Source organism: Homo sapiens, chromosome 19 (assembly GCF_000001405.40).
Source record: "Homo sapiens chromosome 19, GRCh38.p14 Primary Assembly".
NCBI classification, from domain to species: Eukaryota; Metazoa; Chordata; class Mammalia; order Primates; family Hominidae; genus Homo; species Homo sapiens.
Genome location: NC_000019.10, coordinates 35,864,515 through 35,883,558, shown reverse-complemented (window position 1 = coordinate 35,883,558; position 19,044 = coordinate 35,864,515). Strand labels below are relative to the sequence as shown.

Sequence of the window (19,044 nt, the reverse complement as noted above, 5' to 3'; positions counted from 1 at the left end):
GGGATACTCCCACCTCGGCCTCCCAAAGTGCTGGGATTACATGCATGAGCTTCTGCACCTGTCCATATATTATTATTATTATTATTATTTTGAGACCGGGTCTCAATCTGTCTTCTTTGGCTCTCTACAGCCTCGACCTCTTAGGCTCAAACAATTCTCCCACTTCAGCCTCCCGAGTAGCTGGAACTACAGGCACTCATCACCATGCCTGACTAATTTTTTTTTTGTAAAGACTGTGTCTCACTATGTTGCCCAGACTGGTCTTGAGCTCCTAGACTCAAGCGATCCTTCCACCTCAGTCTCACAAATTGCTGGGATTACAGGCATGAGCCACGCACATGGTAGAAACTGAATTATTATAAGAAAAATTGGCCGGACCCGGTGGCTCACGCCTGTAATCCCAACACTTTGGAAGGCCAAGGCAGGTGGATCATTTGAGGTCAGGAGTTTAAGACCAGCCTGGCCAACATGGTGAAACCCCGTCTCTATTAAAAATACAAAAATTAGCCAGGCATGGTGGCGGGCGCCTGTAATCCCAGTTACTCGGGAGGCTGAGGTGGGAGAACCATTTGAACCTGGGAAGTGGAGGTTGCTATGAGCCAAGATCACACCACTGCACTCCAGCCTGACAAGACTCTGTCTCAAAAACCCAAAACCAAAACAAAACAAAACAAAAAAACAGTATTACCAAGATCATCTTCAGTGGGAAAAGAATGACTTAGGAGTGCAAGAACATCAGATAAATAACAGCAAAATTATTTTTCCTGCTGGAATTTGAATAACAACATTTTAAAATTAAATACTCTAAGTATTACCATTAAACTTTACTTTACACACTGACCCTATTGAGCAAAACCGCCTTACTTTTCCTGTTTCACCTGCTTGGAGCTCCTTACCTGTTGTTAGCCTGTTGATCACTCTTGGTTGTGAAAATACAAAGGCGGCTTTCAACCCCTGTGGTGCCTGTGGCGTTAGTGATAGATTTCCACTGGGCTCATCCGAGTATAACCAAAGATATAACCGGTATCAGAGTGATGGTGCAAACTGAGTTCTCTACAGAGACTGGCATTGCATCCAACTTGCACCATGAAGCGTCTTCTCCTAACATCTACCAGGTGTATATTCAATATACACGACCTATATTTACAGTTATATATTATGAAGAACCACAGCTAGCTCATAGGCCCTTTGGGAGAATTAGAAATAGATGCTCCCTCCCCAAACCATCTGTCAGAAAATCATGCAAGATACTGACATTAGAACATGACACTTTACTGCCATCTCCTGGGAAGCTGTGGTAAAAAAGCAAATCTACAAAGTCTGGGAGGTGAATGGTATCACTTGGATTTTATTTATTTATTTATTTATTTATTTATTTATTTATTTTTTATTTTTATTTTTATTTTTAGACAGGGTCCCTCTATGTTGCCCAGGCTGAAGCGCAGTGGCTATTCACAGGTGCTATCCCACTACTGATCAGCATGAGAGTGTTGACCTATGTTTCCTAGGTCGGTTCCCATTCCCAGGAGGTCATCATATTGATGCCAAACTTAGTGTGGACACCCAAGTGGCACAGTGCACTCCAGTCCAGAAGCCCTGGGCTCAAGCAATCCTCTTGCCTCAGCCTCCCGGGTAGCTGGGACTAGAGCAGCGTGCCACTGTGCCCAGCCACGTGGAATTTTGAAGCGCACAATCGGAGCACCATATTGGACAACCTTGGAGTATTAAACAGGTTAGCAAAGTGGCCAGGAGAGTGGATGCTGGAGCCAGGCTTCTTGGATTGAATTCTTAGCTCTGACTTTTCCTGGATGATGACATAGAGCATGTGATGTAACGACTCTCAGCCTCAGTTCCTAATCTATAGATAGGAATAGTCATAATACTGACTCCATTAGATGGAAATGTGAACTCCGAATATCTGAGTCAGGTCTCAATTAATTCAGAAAGTTTATTTTGCCAAGGTTGAGGATATGCACCCATGACACAGCCTTAGAAGGTCCTGACGACATGTGCCCAAGGTGTTCGGGGTACAACTTGGTTTTATACATTTCAGGGAGATATGAGACATCAATCAACATATGTTAAGATGTACATTGGTTCTGTCTGGAAAGGCAGGACAACACAAAGCAGGGAGGGGGCTTCCAGGTCACAGGTAGGTGAGAGACAAATGGTTGCATCCTTTTGAGTTTCTGGTTAGCTTTTCCAAAGGAGGCAATCAGAATATGCCTCTCTCAGTGAGTACAGGGATGACCTTGAATAGAAAGGGAGGCAGGTTTGCCCTAAGCAGTTCCCAGCTTGACTTTTCCCTTTAACTTAGTGATTTGGGGCCCCCAGGATTTATTTTCCTTTCACAGGAGTAATGGTTAAGTGTGCCAGTGCATGTAAAGCCCTCAGAGTAGTGCCTGGCACAGGGTGAACACCATATGAGTGTTTGCTACCTTAATACTTTAAAATTTATTTAACAAATACTTGCTAAGTGGCAGGTGCAGTTATAACAGCTCCACGAATATTAACCCTTTAAATCCTCCTAACCCTCTTGGGACAGATAACTGTATATGTAGAGGGCTAACCCGAGCCAGCATAATGGGACATGTGAGGGTATAAATTCCAATACTGGGCACAGTGCTGCACGCCTGTAATCCCAGCTACTCAGGAGGCTGAGGTGGGAGGATCACTTGAGGCCAGGACTTGGAGAGCAGCCTGGGCAACATAGCAAGACCCCATCTCTAAATTTTTTTTTTTTTGAGATGGAGTTTCGCTCTTGTTGCTCAGGCTGGAGTGCAGTGGCGCAATCTTGGCTCACTGCAACCTCCGCCTCCTGGGTTCAAGCGATTCTTCTGCCTCAGCCCCCAAGTAGCTGGGATTACAGGCATACGCCACCAGGCCCGGCTAATTTTGTATTTTTAGTAGAGATAGGGTTTCATCATGTTGGCCAGGCTGGTCTCGAACTCCTGACCTCAGGTGATCCGCCCGCCTCAGCCTCCCAAAGTGCTGAGATTACAGGCGTGAGCCACCGCACCTGGCCTAAAATTTTTTTAAAAAAATTATCCGGGGGTGGCGGTACGTGCCTATAGTTCCAGCTACTCGGGAGGCTGAGGCAGGAGGGTCACTTAAGCCCAAGAGTTGGAAGCTGCAGTAAGCTATGATTGCACCACTGCACTCCAGCCTAAGTGACAGTGTTAGACCCTGTCTTAAAAAAAGGGAGGTGGGGAAAGAAAAGAAAGAAAAAGAAATTCTTCTGCATTTATACGGGCAGTAGGGGGAGAAAATAAAACGAAGTTCAGTAGGCACGTGCAGATATCATATATCCCTTTCTGGGACACGTGACTGGAATTTCCACACTCCAGGAGGGTTTCTATAGACTCCCCGAGAAGGAATGAAGACTTTGGGGAATGGGAACGGTGGTTCACGATTCATAATCTCTTACAGGACTCTCGAAGATTGGGGTGGGCGCTGCATGTGATTGTGTGTGAGGCTGAACAGATGGCAGGGGAAACTCGCTGGAGCCCAGCCTCCTTGGGGTCCACACTGGTACCCAACTGACAGTTGGAAGGCGCGGCCAGTTCAGCACCGCGGACAGCTCCAGGACAGGCGCCTATCCCTGGCCTCTGAGCCCCGCCCCCGGCGCGCCAGCCCTTCCCGCAGGACCCGCCCAGATTTAAAGCTCCGTCATCCCGTTTAAAGAGGCCAAGGCGGCCTGGGCGGCGATGACACCGCGTCCAGCTGTGGTTACAGACTAATTCTCCCACAGAGACTCAGACTGGCCTGGTAGGGAAGAGGACTTTATTGGGATGTTAGTAGGGAAACATGAGAGGGTGAATTCCAGGGAATAGACACTAGGACCAAGGTGGCGGTCACCTTAAAGAGCCATAAATAAACTTAAAAAATAAATTAAGGTGAGGAGGTGCCACGTGGGGAGGCTGCTGGGACTATCTGGGAATTCTTAGGGATGGAATTTTGGAATTGGAAAGGGGAAATAAGAATTTCCAGCCGTCTCACAAAAGGGTGTGAAATGATCACTTCAAGACTCCCTGCTGCCCTAGGCTGGGAGTTGGGGTTCTGGGGCTCCAGGAAGAGGGGAGGTCTGGGCTCGGCTGAAGGGGTGAAGGGGGCCGGGTCAGGGTCGTTCCTCCAGGAAGCGGTAAGTGGGGTTCTCATAGCCGTGCCGCTGCAGTTCGCGGAGCTGCTGCTCCTCCAGGGTCAGCATGGGGTCCACCTGCAACGAGCAGGGGAGGGAAAGGACAGTGTGGTGCGGGGGCGGGACTGCCCGCAAGTCTCTCAGGCCGCCCACACCCGGGCTCAGGAACTCTTCCCACACCTCCACCACGCCATGGTTCTCACCTCCACCACGCCATGGCTGATAGCCCCGTAGGGCTTCTTCCTGCGCAGGAGCAGCATGGAGAGGACGATGAGGGAGCCTCCGCCCGCTCCCATGATCAGCAGACCCGACACAGCCTCACGGGACACCCCTGTCCCAGCTGGTGCCTGCAGGGAGAGGAGATGGGGCAGAGGGCTTCTTTGAGGGTCCTGTGTGGCTTTGGGAATCACAGCCTGGCCGCTGACCTCTGGTCTCTTCCCCTAGGTACCCGGCTGTTCCTCCTCTTACCAGCTCATCCCTCTGAATCTCCGATGAGTGGAAAGGGAAACCCCTTGGAACAGACGCATTCACCTGGGGGAGCAGGAGGTGTCAGGAACCCAGAAGCCTGGCACTGGCTTCTTCCTACCCAAGGGCCCAAGAGAGCGTCCCCCAGCCCTCTCATTTTCTAGGATCTCAATTCCACGTCCTCAGCTCCCTCTTCCCTCAGGACAAGGAATCCAAGCCCCCAGCATCTCCTCCCTCGTACCCAGCCATATAGGCCCCGATCTTGTTCCCCTTAGGGAGCCCACAGTTCTGACTAACTTACCTTTCGCTCATACTGTTCCAGCGGGTTCATCTTCTCTTTCTCAGGGGATGCAGCATCTTGTTCTGTGGACCCTACCCCCAAGTCTGATCTCATTCTTTTTTTTTTTCTTTAGACAGAGTCTCACTCTGTCACCCAGGCTGGAGTGCAGTGGCATGATCTCAGCTCACTGCAGCCTCAACTTCCTGGGCTCCAGTGATCCTTCTACGTCAGCCTCCTGAGCAGCTGGGACTACAGACATGCCCCACCACACCCAGGTAATTTTTAAATTATTTGTAGGTACAGGGTCTCATTATGTTGCCCAGGCTGGTCTAGAACTCGTGGCCTCAAGGGATCCTCCTGCCTCAGCCTCTGAAAGTGCTAGGATTACGGGTGTGAGTCACCAGCGCCTGGCCCTATCTCATTCTTTAGGGTCCAGAGGAGGGGGCTGGAAAGTACATCAAACTCTACCCCAGGGGGTCTGAGGTTCCCAATGGATGGACCCTGTTTCCTTCTGGGTTCAGGGATTCAGTGGGATTTGGAGGCTGGGGTTAACTGTGAGACACTCACCTTTTGGAAGGGTCATGGGGGTGTCTGCTGGCAGCCAGAGGAAGCAAGGGAGTGGAACAGTGAAGAGAGGAGGGTATCAGCAAAGAAAGGTGGAGAAACATCCTTCCAGGGACTAAGAAGGAGGATTGGGGATCCTACAGAGGCCCCTGCAACCTTAGACGTTCCTCCTCATCCTCTCCCAGTCACTGTGGTGGTGAAGACACCCTCAGACTCTAGGGGATTACAAATTAGGCTGGGGCCTGTTCCCTAATGTCTGGGGTCATCTATATGTGGGCTCACTCACCATCCTTGGAATCTGGAGGCTGCAGCCCACCCTTGTCCTCGCTGCTGCCCCCAGGGGCAGGGGCTTCCAATTCACTGGGACCCAGGTGTTCAGAGTGGAGGAGTTCCTCTGAGGGGGACATGCAGAAAGGTGGCTGAGGTAGTGAGCATAGGGGTGAGTGGAGGGCACCCTACCAGTAGAGCAAGTGGGAGATCATGCAGACAGCAGAGTCAGCCCCAAGTGTGGGGTAGCCAGAAGTGTGATCTGAGAAAGTGGGAAGCTGGATGGAGGCACTGCTGGCAGGAAGGATGGAGGCTGAAGTTTCAAGATTATGTTTTTTTTTTGTTTTTTTTTTTTTGAGACAGAGTCTCACTCTTGTTGCCCAGCTGGAGTGCAATGATGCGATCTCAGCTCACTGCAACCTCCACCTCCCGGGTTCAAGCAATTCTCTTGCCTCAGCCTCCTAAGTAGCTGGGATTACAGGCAAGCGACATCATGCCCGGCTGATTTTTGTATTTTTAGTAAAGACGGGGTTTCACCATGTTGGCCAGGCTGGTCTCGAACTCCTGACCTCAAGTGATCCACCCGCCTCGGCCTCCTAAAGTGCTGGGATTATAGGCGTGAGCCACCGCGCCTCAAGATGATAGCTTTCTTAAATACTAGGAGAATCAGGGTTATGTGTGAGATATCCAGGAGAAAGACACAATAGATGTGGGGGCTGCAATAGGTCACACTTTCCGGTATGCATATAGGTTCCTTCCCTTGAATCTGGACTGAATTTGTAACTTGCTTTAACAAATAGAATGTGGGCCCAAGCCTTAAGACCTAGCAACTTCCACTGTGATGTCTTAGAGAGCATAAACCACCATGTAGGGAATCTAGCTACCCTGCTGATGAGACCACATGGAGAAGCTCCACGGAGAAGAGAGGCCTTGCGCTTCCTTGGAGAGAGAGAAAGGTCCATTTGTGCTAGACTCCCAGCCCCTAGATGATCTGCTAGCTAAATACAGCTGCATGCTTGACCACTGGCAAGACCACTGAAAGAACCACTCTGCTGAGCGCAGACCGGATGGCAGAATCATGAACAAAGAAAAATCATTGTTGATTTTCACTGCTAAGGTCTGGGCTGTTTGTTATAGAGGAATAAATGAAATTGGGGGGGCCCAACATTTAGGAGTCAAGATCTGCCCTCAGAGATCTGTAATGGGAGCCAGGGTAATAGACACTCACGGATTTGGGGCCGCAGCTCCTGAGCCAGGTGGGGGTTCTGGTCAAGCAGGCCCAGGCTCTGATTCACCCTCTCCTCAATCACTTGAAGGTGGGTATGCACCTGTGGGTGAGTGGACATGAAGGATGAACTGCGCAATGCAGGCTGGAGATGAGGAAACTGAAGCAGTATGAAGGAGGAATTCAATAGCGACTGAGGAAAAGCGGCACATGCAATGGACAGGATGTGTGGTACAAGGGTTAGGAACTGGGCCATAGGAGAAGGAAATTGAAGAATAAAGTCCAAGGAACAGAAAGTGGGGTTTGAGGGGATTCCAGAGACAGAGATTGAGGATTGGAGGGTCATATAGAAATGACATGGTTCAAGGCAAGATTTGGAGTTCAAGAGCACAGAATGGAGTTTCATAGACAGGAAGAAAACATCCAGGAAAGGGGAATTCAAATTTGAGCGCACAGAACAGGGGTTCCAGGGAAAACAAGTGAAGTTATGGAGAAAGGAGGTTGAGGGACAGGAAGAGGGTTCAAGGAACAAGAAGGAGATTCTCGACCGGGCGCGGTGGCTCATGCCTGTAATCCCAGCACTTTGGGAGGCCGAGGTAGGCAGATCACCTGAGGTCAGGAGTTTGAGACTAGCCTGGGCAACATGGCAAAACCCTGTCTCTGCTAAAAATATTAGATTGGTGCAAGTTATTGGGGTTTCTGGCCGGGCATGGTGGCTCACGCCTGTAATCCCAGCACTTTGGGAGGCCGAGGTGGGCAGATCACCTGAGGTCAGGAGTTCGAGACCAGCCTGGGCAACATGGCAAAACCCTGTCTCTGCTAAAAATATTAGATTGGTGCAAAAGTTATTGGGGTTTCTGGCTGGGCATGGTGGCTCACGCCTGTAATCCCAGCACTTTGGGAGGCCAAGGCAGGCAGATCACCTGAGGTCAGGAGTTCAAGACCAGCCTGGCCAACATGCTGAAACCCGTGTCTACCAAAAATACAAAAATTAGCTGGGGCCGGGCGTGGTGGCTCACACCTGTAATCCGAGTACTTTAGGAGGCCAAGGGTGGATCACCTGAGGTCGAGTTCAAGACCAGCCTGACCAGTATGGTGAAACCCTGTCTCTACTAAAAATACAAAAATCAGCCAGATGTGGTGACACCCGCCTGTAGTCCCAGCTACTCAGGAGGCTGAGGCAGGAGAATAGCTTGAACCCAGTAGGCGGAGGTTGCAGTGAGCCCAGATCATGTCACTGCACTCCAGCCTGGGAAACAGAGCGAGACTCTGTCAAAAAAAAAAAAAAAAATTAGCCCAGTGTGGTGGCAGGCTCCTGTAATCCCAGCTACTCGAGAGGCTGAGGCAGGAGAATTGCTTGAACCCAGGAGGTGGAAGTTGCAATGAGCCAAGATCGCACACTGCTCTCCTGCCTGGGCGACAGAGCAAGAACCTGTCTCAAAAAAAAAAAAAAAAAAAAGACGATTCTGGGAAAGGCAGTGAAAATCCAAGGGACAGAACATAGGATCGACGGCGGGGGGAGTAGGAATCCAAGGGCCAAGAAGCAGGGGTCAAAGACACAGCATGTGAGGGTCCATGTTTCAGGGTCAGGAAGCTGAGCTGAGAGACTGGGAAGGGGCAGAGAAGCGGTGTTCAGGGGATAGGAAGGGGTCCAAGAGACAGAAAGAGGGTCTAAGGGACAAGAGAAGAGCCTGAGGCGCGGGCGTCTGAGGAATAGCGGCGCATTTGGGAGCTGGAAGGATGTGAGCACCTGGAAGCGCATCTGCTGTGCCTTCTCGGGATCCACGGCGGCCACATGCTGGTAGTGGCGCAGCGTGTGCCTCTGTTCCTTCTGCTCCGCACGCAGGTAGCGCCGCAGGGCCAACAGGACACGCTCCGCCTGTGGAAGGGACACAGGATGCCCAAGCCCGCCCTGACCCTTCTCACCCTCTGCTCTCTGCCCCCACGGTCCCCGCACCTGAGGCGGATCTGCCTGCAGGGCTGCCAGGAAGCCCTCCAAGGCAGCCCGGCGCTGGTCGTTGATAAGGGCGATGACGCGGGTGGCGTGGGTTTCCACCAGGCGCTGTCGCTCACCAGACACCTGCTCCTCCAGAGTCTGCAGAATGGACTGGAAGTGCTGGGGAGCGGGTGGGCACAGGGTCAGGAGAGGAGAAGATGGGTCAAAGCCTGGTCAAAGAGAGCCTGGAAAGGCAGGGCTACATGGGGTTGGGGGGCGTTCCAGGGGTCCAGGCCTGGGCAGAACCAAAGGTTATGGACTGGAAGGGGTGGGCTACAGGGCCAGGCAGAGTGGAGGTGGGACTAGGCCCACTGGGAGCCAATGTGAGGATGTAAACTGTAAGATTGAGTGGGAGCAATCTGGGAGCAGAACTGACCAATGTTAAGGTGAAAGGGACAAAGCCTTGCAGGGCTCCTGGCCTGGGCAGGGTCAAACTGGAGACAGGCTGTGTATAAATGACACGATAGGGGTGGGACAAAGAGCTGGAATGGGGGCTAACATGAGTGGGGTCTCCATGGGGTAGGTCAGGTTAATAAAGGTGAGATTGGCCCAGCAGAGCCAGAATCAGGGGGCGGGGCCTGATAGAGACATAAATGCATCAAAGAGAGACCAAGAAGGCCCTGGCTGCATCTGCAGAGGCCCTGGCTTGGGACAGGACTCCAGAGCCAGCCCTGAGAGGCAAGTCAAGTCTGTAGATGGGGCCGAATATGGCCAATCTGGGGAGGAGAGCAGTGTCAGGTCAGATGACGGCTAAGAGGGGCAGAGCTGCATGTAGGCATGGGGCCAGGAAAGGCTGAGATAGGTGGGAAGGGGTGGAACTGGATGGGCAGGGCACAGCCAGAGCCAGGTGAAACTGAGTGTGCTCCAGGTGGTGGACAGGCATGAGTAGGACCCACTGGGGCTGTCCTACCTCATTCAGGGCCTGTCTGTCGGCTTTAGGCAGGTTCTTGGACTGGTTGTCTGCCATGGCCCATTCACGCATCACCTGCATAGGGAGGGGAGCTTCAGGATCCCAGAATCCACCCTGATCCACCTGGCAAGTCCCCCAACCCCTCTTTAAGATTTTAGAAGCCCCATGGCTGGGCGCAGTGGCTCATGCCTGTAATCCCAGCACTTTGGGAGGCCGAGGTGGGTGGATCACAAGGTCAGGAGATTGAGGCCATCCTGGCTAACATGGTGAAACCCTGTCTCTACTGAAAACAGAAAAAATTATCTGGGCGCTGTGGTGGGTACCAGTAGTCCCAGCTACTCGGGAGGCTGAGGCAGGAGAATGGCGTGAACCCAGGAGGTGGAGCTTGCAGTGAGTGGGAGATCACGTCACTGCACTCTAGCCTGGGCAACAGAGCGAAACTCTGTCTCAAAAAAAAAAAAAAAAAAAGATTTAAAGGCCCCAGATCCCTTAAGTCTCGCTGGCTCCTGGGTTCCCAAGAGGGAAGATCCAGAAGGAGTTTAAAGTGAAAGAGAGGCCAGGCGTGGTGGCTCATGCCTGTAATCCCAGCACTTTGGGAGGCCGAGGCGGGTGGATCTCCTCCCGCCGGGAGTTCAAGACCATCCTGGCCAACATGGTGAAACCCTGTCTCTACTAAAAATACAAAAATTAGCCGGGCGTGGTGGTGGGTGCCTGTAATCCCAGCTACTCAGGAGACTGAGGAAGGGGAATCGCTGGAGCCCGGGAGGCAGAGGTTGCAGTGGGCCGAGATCGCACCATTGCACTCCAGCCTGGGTGTTAAGAGCGAAACTCCGTCACAACAACAACAACAAAAGAAAAAAAAAAAAACCAATAAAGTGAAAGAGTACCATAGACCAGAGTTTCCAGAGAACCTGGTAGCGTCTCAGTGGGATTCTAGAAGGGCCATGGATCTCTGGCCATCTTAGGGGGTGGTGTTGAGAGCTCAAGGTCAAAGGGGCTTAGGGAGCCTTTGGAGGTAGTATCAATGTGTCCTGGAGGAATTTCCTGGTATTTAGGGAGCTCTGTACTGTAGGGGGTCCTGGGGCCCCCAGTATTATCACCTCATTAATCTGGCGCATCCTACGCTCCTCCAGGTCCATCTTGGCCCTCAGGAACCCCTCGTGCTCACTGATTTCCCCAGGCATGCCAAAGTAAATATCCACACCGTCTGTGGGCCTCGGGGTGGGAGTGACTGCAAGACCAGGGATCAGGAGGTCAGTCTGCAGCCCACCTCCAGGTCGCCTTTTCTACCTAGAGAACCACATTTCCTAGAGTGCACTGGAGACCATCATGCACCCAGTTTAGCCACCGCTGCTGCCTGGCATTATGGGAGATGTAGTTCTGGACTGGGCCTGTTCTTGCAAAGCTTAGGAATCCATTACACCATCTTCCAAGCTTTCCTGAAATGATCCTCAAGACCTACCCAATGGCCCCTCTACTCCCAAGTACCCCCAAACCACCCCCTCCCTTGGCAGGTTAGCCCTTCTACTTCTATTTTATCCAAAGATACTCTCGTCTTTTCTCCTCAGTTGGGCCTTTCCCCTATAGGCCCCTCCCAAAGACACCCCCCAGCAAGACTCCCCCAGATCTTTCTCCCTCTATGGTGGAGAGGCCCCAGGGGTTCAGAGACTGCCTCACCTTTGCCGACCACTGCAAGTGTATGGGAGCTTGGGGGTGGGACCGTTTCCTCTTCCTCTTCAGCCTGCGGAGGCTCCACGAAGTAATCATCTACTGGCTGTGGGAAGGATTCCTCCTCTTCCTCGTCCTCAGCCCCCTCTACTCTGCTCCCCGGGGGCCAGGACCGGGTGGAGGGGTCACTGAGGGAGCAGGAGAGGACCCAGGCAGTAAGAACCCAGGCCTGGGCTCCCAGGCTTCCATCCCCTGCCTCAGGAACCTTGAGATGGGCATGGAGGGTTCCCTCCCACTCACCCAACTGCTGTCCCAGATGGGTCGGGGGTCCCTGGAGGGGGACAGCACACATACTCCACACCACGGAACCGATCCGAGCCACAGGGTAAGAGCATGCCCGAGCCGTGCAGGATGAGGCCCTGGGAGCTGCAGGCCTGTAGGAAGAGTGGGCCCAGATGCCAGGATTGTGGGATGGGAGGGGGTAGATGGGGAACTGGGCTGCCAGGGTTGGGGGTTGATGAGGCTGGGAGCCTGGATTCCTGCTTCTAGAGGAAGGGGTTGGGGGATGAAATTCTTAGATCCCAAGTGCGAAGAGGATGCTGGTGGCCCAGACTCCTCGGTTCTGGTGGCGGAGGGTGTTAGAGGTCCCAGTTCCTGGGTTGTGGGGGCTGGGGACGGGTGGGCCAACGTCCTGACCTCCTGTGCCTCCTGATGCCTCCGGGTTGAACTCTCACATTGGTCCATGCGCTCCTGGTGCAAGAACCGGCAGCCTTCAGGCACCAGCAGGGCCTCACTCACAAATTCACCAGCTGGGGAAGCACGGGACACCAGGGTGAGATCCTCCTATAGCCACCAACCCCACCCTCCTCAGAATCCAGATATTTTATCCTCAGAGGCTTCTCTGCCCCACTTAGGACACAAGCACCCAGCCCCTTAATGTAGGCCTGAGAGAGGGGCTCAGAACCTTGCCCCTCAGAAACTCCCACCTCAGTTCCCCTCTCCCCGCCTGGGACTCACGCAGGCAGCGGAAGGGCACAACCTGGTGGTGGGGGTGGGCGCAGCTGCCGCTCCGGGAACCCCCGCACCAGCGCTCCATGGGGATGGCCTGCGTAGCCTGCTCCACACGTGCAATCTGCAGCTCCGGGTACATCTGGGGGGATCAGATGGGGGCAATCAGCCCACTGCCCCGCCCCTGCCAGCCACCCCTCTCCAGTAGTCAGGTCCCTTTTCTCTTTCTTTCTCCCTCTTTCTTTCTTTCTTTGAGACGGAGATTTGCTCTTGTCGCCCAGGCTGGAGTGGAATGGTACAATCTCGGCTCACTGCAACCTCCTCCTCCCAGGTTCAAGCGATTCTCCTGTCTCAGCCTCCTGAGTAGCTGGGATTACAGGCACGCACCACCATGCCAGGCTAATTTTTGTATTTTTAGTAGAGACGGAGTTTCGCCGTGTTGGCCAGGCTGGTCTCGAACTTCTGACCTCAGGTGATCCGCCTGCCTCGGCCTCCCCAAGTGCTGCGATTACAGGCGTGAGCCACCGCGCCCGGCCAGGTCCGTTTTCAAGGCTCTAGTATTCATGAGGACATCGCTTCCCTAGGCCCTGCTTCTCCCTAGCACCAGCCTTAGATATCCAAGCTCCTTGTGCTCATTGGCCACGCCCACTAGCAGTTTTCCCTTAAAAGTCCCGTCATCTTTAAGCCCTATCTCTTTTCCTGTGCTGTTTCTTTCTGAAGGTCCCTCTAAGCCCACCTCTCTGGTCACCCCTCCCCGCAGTCAGATTCGTCTCCCCAAAGGTCTCACCCTCCTTTAGGCCCCGCCTTTTCCTCTATTCCGCCTCTCCAAAACTCTCCCTTCCCGTTATAAATTTGTCTTTTCATGGCCACGCCCCCCCAGCTCTCCGCGCTCTCATTGGGCTCCACCCCTTTCCCCATCTTGCTGGTCCTTAAGGTCTCTTTCTGTCTTAGCCCCGCCTATCCTTTCGCCACTCCCCCCTACACCTCTACTCTTTACAAAGACCACCAGATTCCTAAATTCCACTTCCTCTCTGGCTATCTCGCGGCTCTCCCCTTTTCCTGACTTAGTATCTCAAAACAGGTCCCCTGCCCCTAGCATAGTTGCGCCTCTTTATTGGCCACGCCCCCCAGCCTCCACGCCTTAGATCGCGCAGCACCCTGGACCACGCCTTTTTCAAGTCTAGCTTTCTATGGGCGGCCCCGCCTCTCCCGTTCGGCCCCGCCCACCTGTCTGCAGTACTCCAGCACGCGCTGCGGGTCCCGGAGACAGCGTCGAGAGCGCTGTGGGTCTGGTTCCCAGCGGCCGGTGCGCAGGTCCCGGTGAAGGGTTAGGCGCCCGCATAGTCCAGCCACCTGGGCCGACCCCGGGGCCTGGATGGAAGTGGAAAGGACAGTGAGGGCTCGGGGGGCGTTGGCATGAGGGTCCCCTGGTTCTTTGCTCCCTAGGACCGAGACCCCCAGCACCAGCCCCCTCCCCCAAGCACCGCACACCGCCTCCATGGAGGCACCGTTCCCTGGGAAACAGCTCCCGTAGGGCGGGGGCGCCCCAGCGCTCCCGTTGCTATGGCGACCTGGGTCCCCCGGGATTCTTTCTGCCTTGTTGCCGCGGAGACAGACTCCGCCCCCACCCCAGCGCAGCCGCTCTGGAGCCCGAAGGGGTTAAACCTGAATCGCGGAGGAGGAGGCCAGAACCCAGGAGTTCTGGCCCCTCCTCCCTCCATCCCTTGCTCAGGCTCCCGTTGCAGGATGCAAAGCTGACAAGGCCTGGCTTCAGGGGCCTACAGTCCTGGACACCAGGTCCTTGAGGACTGGAGAGCTACATCTGGTTGGGGTGGGTGGTGACTGAAGGACTGGACTCCTGGGTCCTGGGAGGCTGCAAGGGCCTCCATATGGGTCCAGAGAATACAAGGGGTCTGGATTATTGGATCTAAATGCCTCGCTGCTTGGTGGGTCCTATGTCCAGGCGGGAGGGGGTTGGGGCCGAGTCACCTGGGTCTGGAGAGGGGGCTGGACTTCTGGGACCAGGGGCTCTGAATAGACCAGTTCCTATGCTCGAGATGGGAGGGGGCTGGGACGTCGCATGATGGGGGAGCTGGGGCCTGGAACCCTGGGTTCATAAATGTGATTGGGGGCGCCTGGGGGCTGACCACCTGGCTGGAAAGACCGCGCTTTCTGCCCTGGACATGTCCGCGCCGGCGTCCAGAGACCCGGTCCCGCCCCTTCCCCCATCCCCCAGGACCCGGCCCGGCCTCACCTCGGCCGCGCCGGGGCTCCCACCGGCCAGGCTCCCGATGGCGGGCTGCGCGCGCAGAAGCAGCAGCAATAGTGGCAGCAGCAGCGGCAGCGGCGGCTGGCCCGGGCGGCGACTTAGACCGCGAGCAGCGGGGCTGGCGGGCCCCATGTCCCGGCCCTTGCGCCCTCACGTCCCCTGCACTCCCGCCCGGCCCGGCCCCAGCGGTGACAGGAGCTCCCAGCGCCACCGCCGCCACCTCCTCCTCCCGCCGCCCCCGGGCTGCGCCGGCGCCGCCAGCCCCGCCCCGCGCCGGCCCCGCCTTCCTGGTCAGGACAATAGCGTGGCGGCTTCGCGCAGAGTGGAGCAGCTCGGGAACCCCGGGCGGGAGCCTGCGCCAGGCCCCCGCCCCTCGAGATTCCAGGCGTCCCGCCCCATGAAGGGCCCAGCCAGGAGTCCGGCTATGGGCTCCGCCCGTTGTGGATTTTGAGTCCTCCCGCAGGACTCTCACCCTCTTTAGACCCAGACACTCACAGTTTTGTCCTTTTCCAAGGATGCAAGCATCAGAGACCCCCATCCCCTAGTACATTCCTCTGTTGAGGGCTCAGGAATACAGGCCTCCAAAATGTCCCCAGTCAAGAAGGCAGCAGTTGAGACCTAGTCCCTTCCTCTTTCAGATCCAGAAGTCTGGGCACCTTCTCTCTCAGGACCAGAGACCAAGCCCCCAGCCCATTCTCCTTCAGACCCAGGAGTTCACTCTTCTTGCTCTGCTTCCCAAGGGTCCCAGGGGCCTGGACCTTTAACTCCTAGCTCAAGGATCCATGAACCAAAGCCCCCAGGACCTTTCTTTAAGGATCATCCAAGCAGGCACCAGCACCATGCCCACTGTGGATGCAGCACCTCAGGATTAGGGTCTGGATCTCCACGCTTGCTGTAAGGACCAGGGGATTGCCATTTTCCTACCCATAGTCTCCCCTTCCCTGCTCCACTTCAGGGCTCACTTGTTTGTCTCCTCTAATGAGAGTTAGAATTCAGTCTTCCCCAGGACCCCTGGGGCAGCCCTGTCACTTGTGTGCAACTGTGTGGACATCTATGCGTGTGTCTGTGCATACATGCCTATGTGTGTGTCTTTTCTGTTTGCAACTCATGTGTGTGTGTGCGTGTGTGTGTGTGTGTGTGTGTGTGTGAAGATGTATATTAAAAGAGCCCATGGCTGGGCACAGTGGCTCATGCCTGTAATCCCAGCACATTGGGAGGCCTAGGTGGGCGGATCACTTGAGGTCAGGAGTTTGAGACCAGCCTGGCCAACATGGTGAAACCCTGTCTACAAACAAATACAAAAATTAGCTGGGTGTGGTGGCATGCACCTGTAGTCCCAGCTACTTGGGAGGCTGAGGTGGAAGGATGGCTTGAGCCCAGGATGCAGAGGTAGCAGTGGGCTGAGATCATGCCACTGCACTCCAATGTGGGCCATAGAGCCAGATCTTGTCTCAAGAAAAAAAAAAAAAGAGCCTAGAGTGCTTTGCAGGTAGCAAGAGGCTGAGAGGTGGCTCACAGTTTTACTCCTACAGCCACCTCATAGGCTAGGGTAGAGGAGGGACCTTGGGACAGGTCTAAGGGACCCCTTCCTTGGTGGAGAGTGATAATGCCAGTAGACTCCCTAAGACACACTTGCCTCTTTGACTTTTTTTTATTATTAAACATAAATATTTTTATCCCAATATTTTGCCCCAACAGTGGTAATTCTCACTGTATCCCCACTCCTTGGGTCCAAGTCTTTCTGAGTCTTTAAGGAAAGTAAAATCAAGATGGTGGCCATCTTGGGTTCCTAGGGAGTATATGGCCATCTTGGCTGCATTTCCATTGGCCGAGCAAAGTTCCCCTCAGGGAGAGCCAGGGTGGGGCCTGGTATGCTCTTCATCTTCATCTATCCTATGCTACCTTTCCTCTCAATGCAGATGGTCATCTTGAAATATCTTCTTTCAGTGGCTAGAAACAACTTCCATCCCGGCCCCAAACTCCCAACACCCACTGCCCTGTCCCCATCTCTCCTCAAAGGGCCTACCTGCCATCTTGAATCTCTTTTACACCGGGGAATAGGTGGGCATATTGGGTGGCCATGTTGCTCCCACTTGGGGCATCTCCTTTGGCTGAGCTGACTGTATACAAATGCTCCTGACAAATGTAATGATCTTTCCCTCCCCTTGTGTTCAGTTTTGGAGGAGTAAGGTCGCCAACTTGTCCTGGCTCCTCAGAAATCAGAACAATCCATTATGGCAAGTTGGAGATCCCAGGACTCTTCCATTGGAAAGATGTCACACGTGAGTCTGGAGACGCGGGTGGCTAGGTGTGGGGAAGGCAGCATATGGGAAGGGGGGAGTCCCGGGGGCCAGATCTGGGGGCCCAAAGGATGTGGGTTTGATGTAGCTGGTGAAAGCTCGAGGGTGGGGTGTGGTGAGATAGCCTGCCCTGGCTCTGTAAAGTCTGCAGGGGGGGACCATGCCCAGGTGTGGGTTGAAGTCATAGAAGGTAGGGGTCCCTGGGGGCCCAAGGGGGGAGGGTGGTGGCAGGAAGAGACCTCCTCCAGGGGCTTCGCCAAGGCTCAGGCTCACACTGACTCCTCGGACCTTGTAGTAACCGTTGGTTGGGTCCTGAGGGGACAAATGGGACTCAGTAAAGTCTGTGAGCGTGCAGGGGGGATGAGGGTCACTGATGGAGAGACACACTGAAATAGACCAGACCTTGAGAGAGACAAAAAGAGACAGGAGTGGGCAGAGACACAGAGACACACATGGACTGGGAGAGAGAGAAAGTGAGACAGAGGAACAGTGATAAGAGGCAAATGGATAGGACATAGGCAGAGAAAGGTAGAGACGGAGGGATATAGGCCTGCTGAGGGGTGTCGGTGTGGAAGGTGCAGAGGGAACAGGAGAGAGACACTCACCTGCCCAACAGCCTCTAGGCTTTGATTCAGTGTCACACCCTGTGTTGCTGCTACAAGGCATGTCACTAGGATAGAACTGGACCCTGTCCTCACAGAATCCCACACCAAAGGAAAAATGACAGATCATGAGACAGTACCCAGAGGGGTCAGGGCTGTGCCTGGGAAAGGCATAGGCAATGACAGGGGCTGTGATGGTAGAGCCCTCAGCATAGTGGGTGGGATAAGGAAGCCCAGATCAGAGTGGTCATGGCTGTGATGGGTGGAACACAGGCAAAATGATCGAGCTGTCATGACGGAAGCATGGGCTTCCTAGAACAAGAAATGTCTGAGCTGAGACTGGAGGACTAAAGGAAGGAATTAGGTAGACATGGGAAGGAAGGTAGGAGTGTTTCAGGCCAAGAGAATGGCATGTCGGCTGGGCACAGTGGCTCACGCCTGTAATCCCAGCACTTTGGGAGGCTGGGGCGAGCGGATCACTTGAGGTCAGGAGTTCCAGATCAGCCTGGCCAACATGGTGAAACTCCATCTCTACTAAAAATACAAGAAAAATTAGCCAGCTATTAGGGAGCCTGAGGCAGGAGAATGGCTTGAACCCAGGAGGCAGAGGTTGCAGTGAGCTGAGATTGCACCACTGCACTCCAGCCTGGGCAACAGAATGAGACTCCGTCTCAAAAAAAAAAAAAAAAAAAAGAAGAGAGAGAATGGCATGTGCTAGGTACGCAGGAGAGAGAGAGAGAGAGAAGTGCTCTGGCCTGGGGATGGCCTGGAGTCAATGTGGCTGTCCTGAGGTAGGACCCCAGAGGAAGAACCAGTCTGGGGAGATGTGGGGCCAGTGTAGGACCTGGTGGCTGAAAGGGGGCTTGACCGTGATGAGGAGAGCACAGGCAGGGTGAGCCCTGGTCTGGGGCTCCAGATGGAGGCTAGGGCTGGGACAGATGTGTGGGAAGAGTCTGCAGACAGGCAAACTGAGGCTGGGAGCTGAGTGAGATGGCCCAGGGGGCAGGAGGAGTGGGGTGGGGAGCTGAGTCCCAACTCTGAGGACAACAGAAGGAAAAAGGAGGGGACAGGCGTGGGAGAGAGACGGAAACACAATGAAGGGAGCCCCGCCTCTCCCAACAGTGAAGGGAGCCCCACCCCTCTCAACACTCACCTTGGTCTCCAGAGTCCCTTCCTCCTCCAGAACCAGATCACTGTGGTCAGTGTGCACAATGGGGCCCTGGGGTAGGGAACTTAGTGAGAGGGAATAGTCAGAGGATCCCCCCGCCCCAATGCCAGACCCCAAGGACCTTCAGCCAGCCAGTGGAGGCCAGGCAGGAGGGAGTAAGAGCACCCAAGAGCTGGGGACTGCA

At 54.4% G+C, this 19,044-nt stretch overlaps 2 protein-coding genes, 2 long non-coding RNA genes and 1 pseudogene across 17 annotated transcripts in view, besides 2 other annotated features; 2 read left to right on the top strand and 3 right to left on the bottom strand.

Annotated features, from left to right (window-relative positions):
- On the bottom strand, positions 1,406-1,669 carry RN7SL402P (RNA, 7SL, cytoplasmic 402, pseudogene; annotated as a pseudogene).
- Positions 1,434-3,895, top strand: LOC124904705 (uncharacterized). The gene is made up of 2 exons (XR_007067245.1): positions 1,434-1,732; positions 3,430-3,895. It is a non-coding gene; the product is annotated as an uncharacterized LOC124904705 (long non-coding RNA).
- On the bottom strand, positions 3,767-14,985 carry APLP1 (amyloid beta precursor like protein 1). 4 transcript variants are annotated; one of them, NM_001024807.3, is made up of 17 exons: positions 14,776-14,985; positions 13,749-13,892; positions 12,531-12,663; positions 12,210-12,322; positions 11,814-11,947; positions 11,523-11,701; positions 10,946-11,076; positions 9,846-9,920; positions 8,897-9,055; positions 8,690-8,818; positions 6,943-7,042; positions 5,734-5,841; positions 5,451-5,477; positions 4,905-4,975; positions 4,607-4,669; positions 4,342-4,485; positions 3,767-4,216 (listed from the first exon to the last, which is right to left on the bottom strand). In NM_001024807.3, exons 1-17 carry the CDS (start codon positions 14,920-14,922, stop codon positions 4,118-4,120), a joined length of 1,956 nt encoding a protein of 651 aa, NP_001019978.1. In that variant the 5' UTR covers positions 14,923-14,985; the 3' UTR covers positions 3,767-4,117. The 4 variants fall into 4 exon arrangements, with proteins under 4 accessions (NP_001019978.1, NP_005157.1, XP_016882226.1 ...); NM_005166.5 differs by having other exon boundaries at positions 5,451-5,474; XM_017026737.3 differs by lacking the exon at positions 8,897-9,055.
- LOC107985317 (uncharacterized) overlaps positions 14,202-19,044 on the top strand; it is a 6,443-nt gene continuing 1,600 nt past the window's right edge. The window contains exons 1-3 of the long non-coding RNA XR_001753932.2: positions 14,202-14,467; positions 15,429-15,684; positions 16,966-17,072. This is a non-coding gene — a long non-coding RNA (uncharacterized LOC107985317). The remainder of the gene's footprint in view (positions 14,468-15,428; positions 15,685-16,965; positions 17,073-19,044) is intronic.
- Positions 14,745-14,814: a silencer, noted in NCBI's record as "silent region_10541". NCBI's record gives its function as "represses an Ori minimal core promoter by ATAC-STARR-seq in GM12878 lymphoblastoid cells {active_cell/tissue: GM12878}" and the evidence as "EXISTENCE:reporter gene assay evidence [ECO:0000049][PMID:35858748]".
- Positions 14,905-15,164: a silencer, noted in NCBI's record as "silent region_10540". NCBI's record gives its function as "represses an Ori minimal core promoter by ATAC-STARR-seq in GM12878 lymphoblastoid cells {active_cell/tissue: GM12878}" and the evidence as "EXISTENCE:reporter gene assay evidence [ECO:0000049][PMID:35858748]".
- The window catches only part of KIRREL2 (kirre like nephrin family adhesion molecule 2), a 15,738-nt gene continuing 13,116 nt past the window's right edge, over positions 16,423-19,044 (bottom strand). For 9 of the 11 annotated variants that reach the window (XM_011527362.2, XM_011527363.2, XM_047439500.1 and 6 more), the window contains 2 exons: positions 18,846-18,911; positions 16,423-17,402 (listed from right to left, as the gene is read on the bottom strand). In XM_011527362.2, the coding sequence (XP_011525664.1) occupies positions 17,067-17,402; positions 18,846-18,911 (402 nt within the window). In that variant the 3' untranslated portion in view covers positions 16,423-17,066. The remainder of the gene's footprint in view (positions 17,403-18,845; positions 18,912-19,044) is intronic. The other 2 variants (NM_032123.7, NM_199179.4) reach the window with 1 other exon arrangement.

Coding starts and splice junctions, on each gene's coding strand:
- APLP1 (NM_001024807.3), bottom strand. CDS start 14,922: ATGGGGCCCGCCAGCCCCGCTGCTCGCGGTCTAAGTCGCCGCCCGGGC. Junction 11,948..12,209: donor GGCATCAGGAGGCACAGGAG/GTCAGGACGTTG, acceptor CTCTTCCTACAG/GCCTGCAGCTCCCAGGGCCT. Junction 9,056..9,845: donor ACAGACAGGCCCTGAATGAG/GTAGGACAGCCC, acceptor CCCGCTCCCCAG/CACTTCCAGTCCATTCTGCA.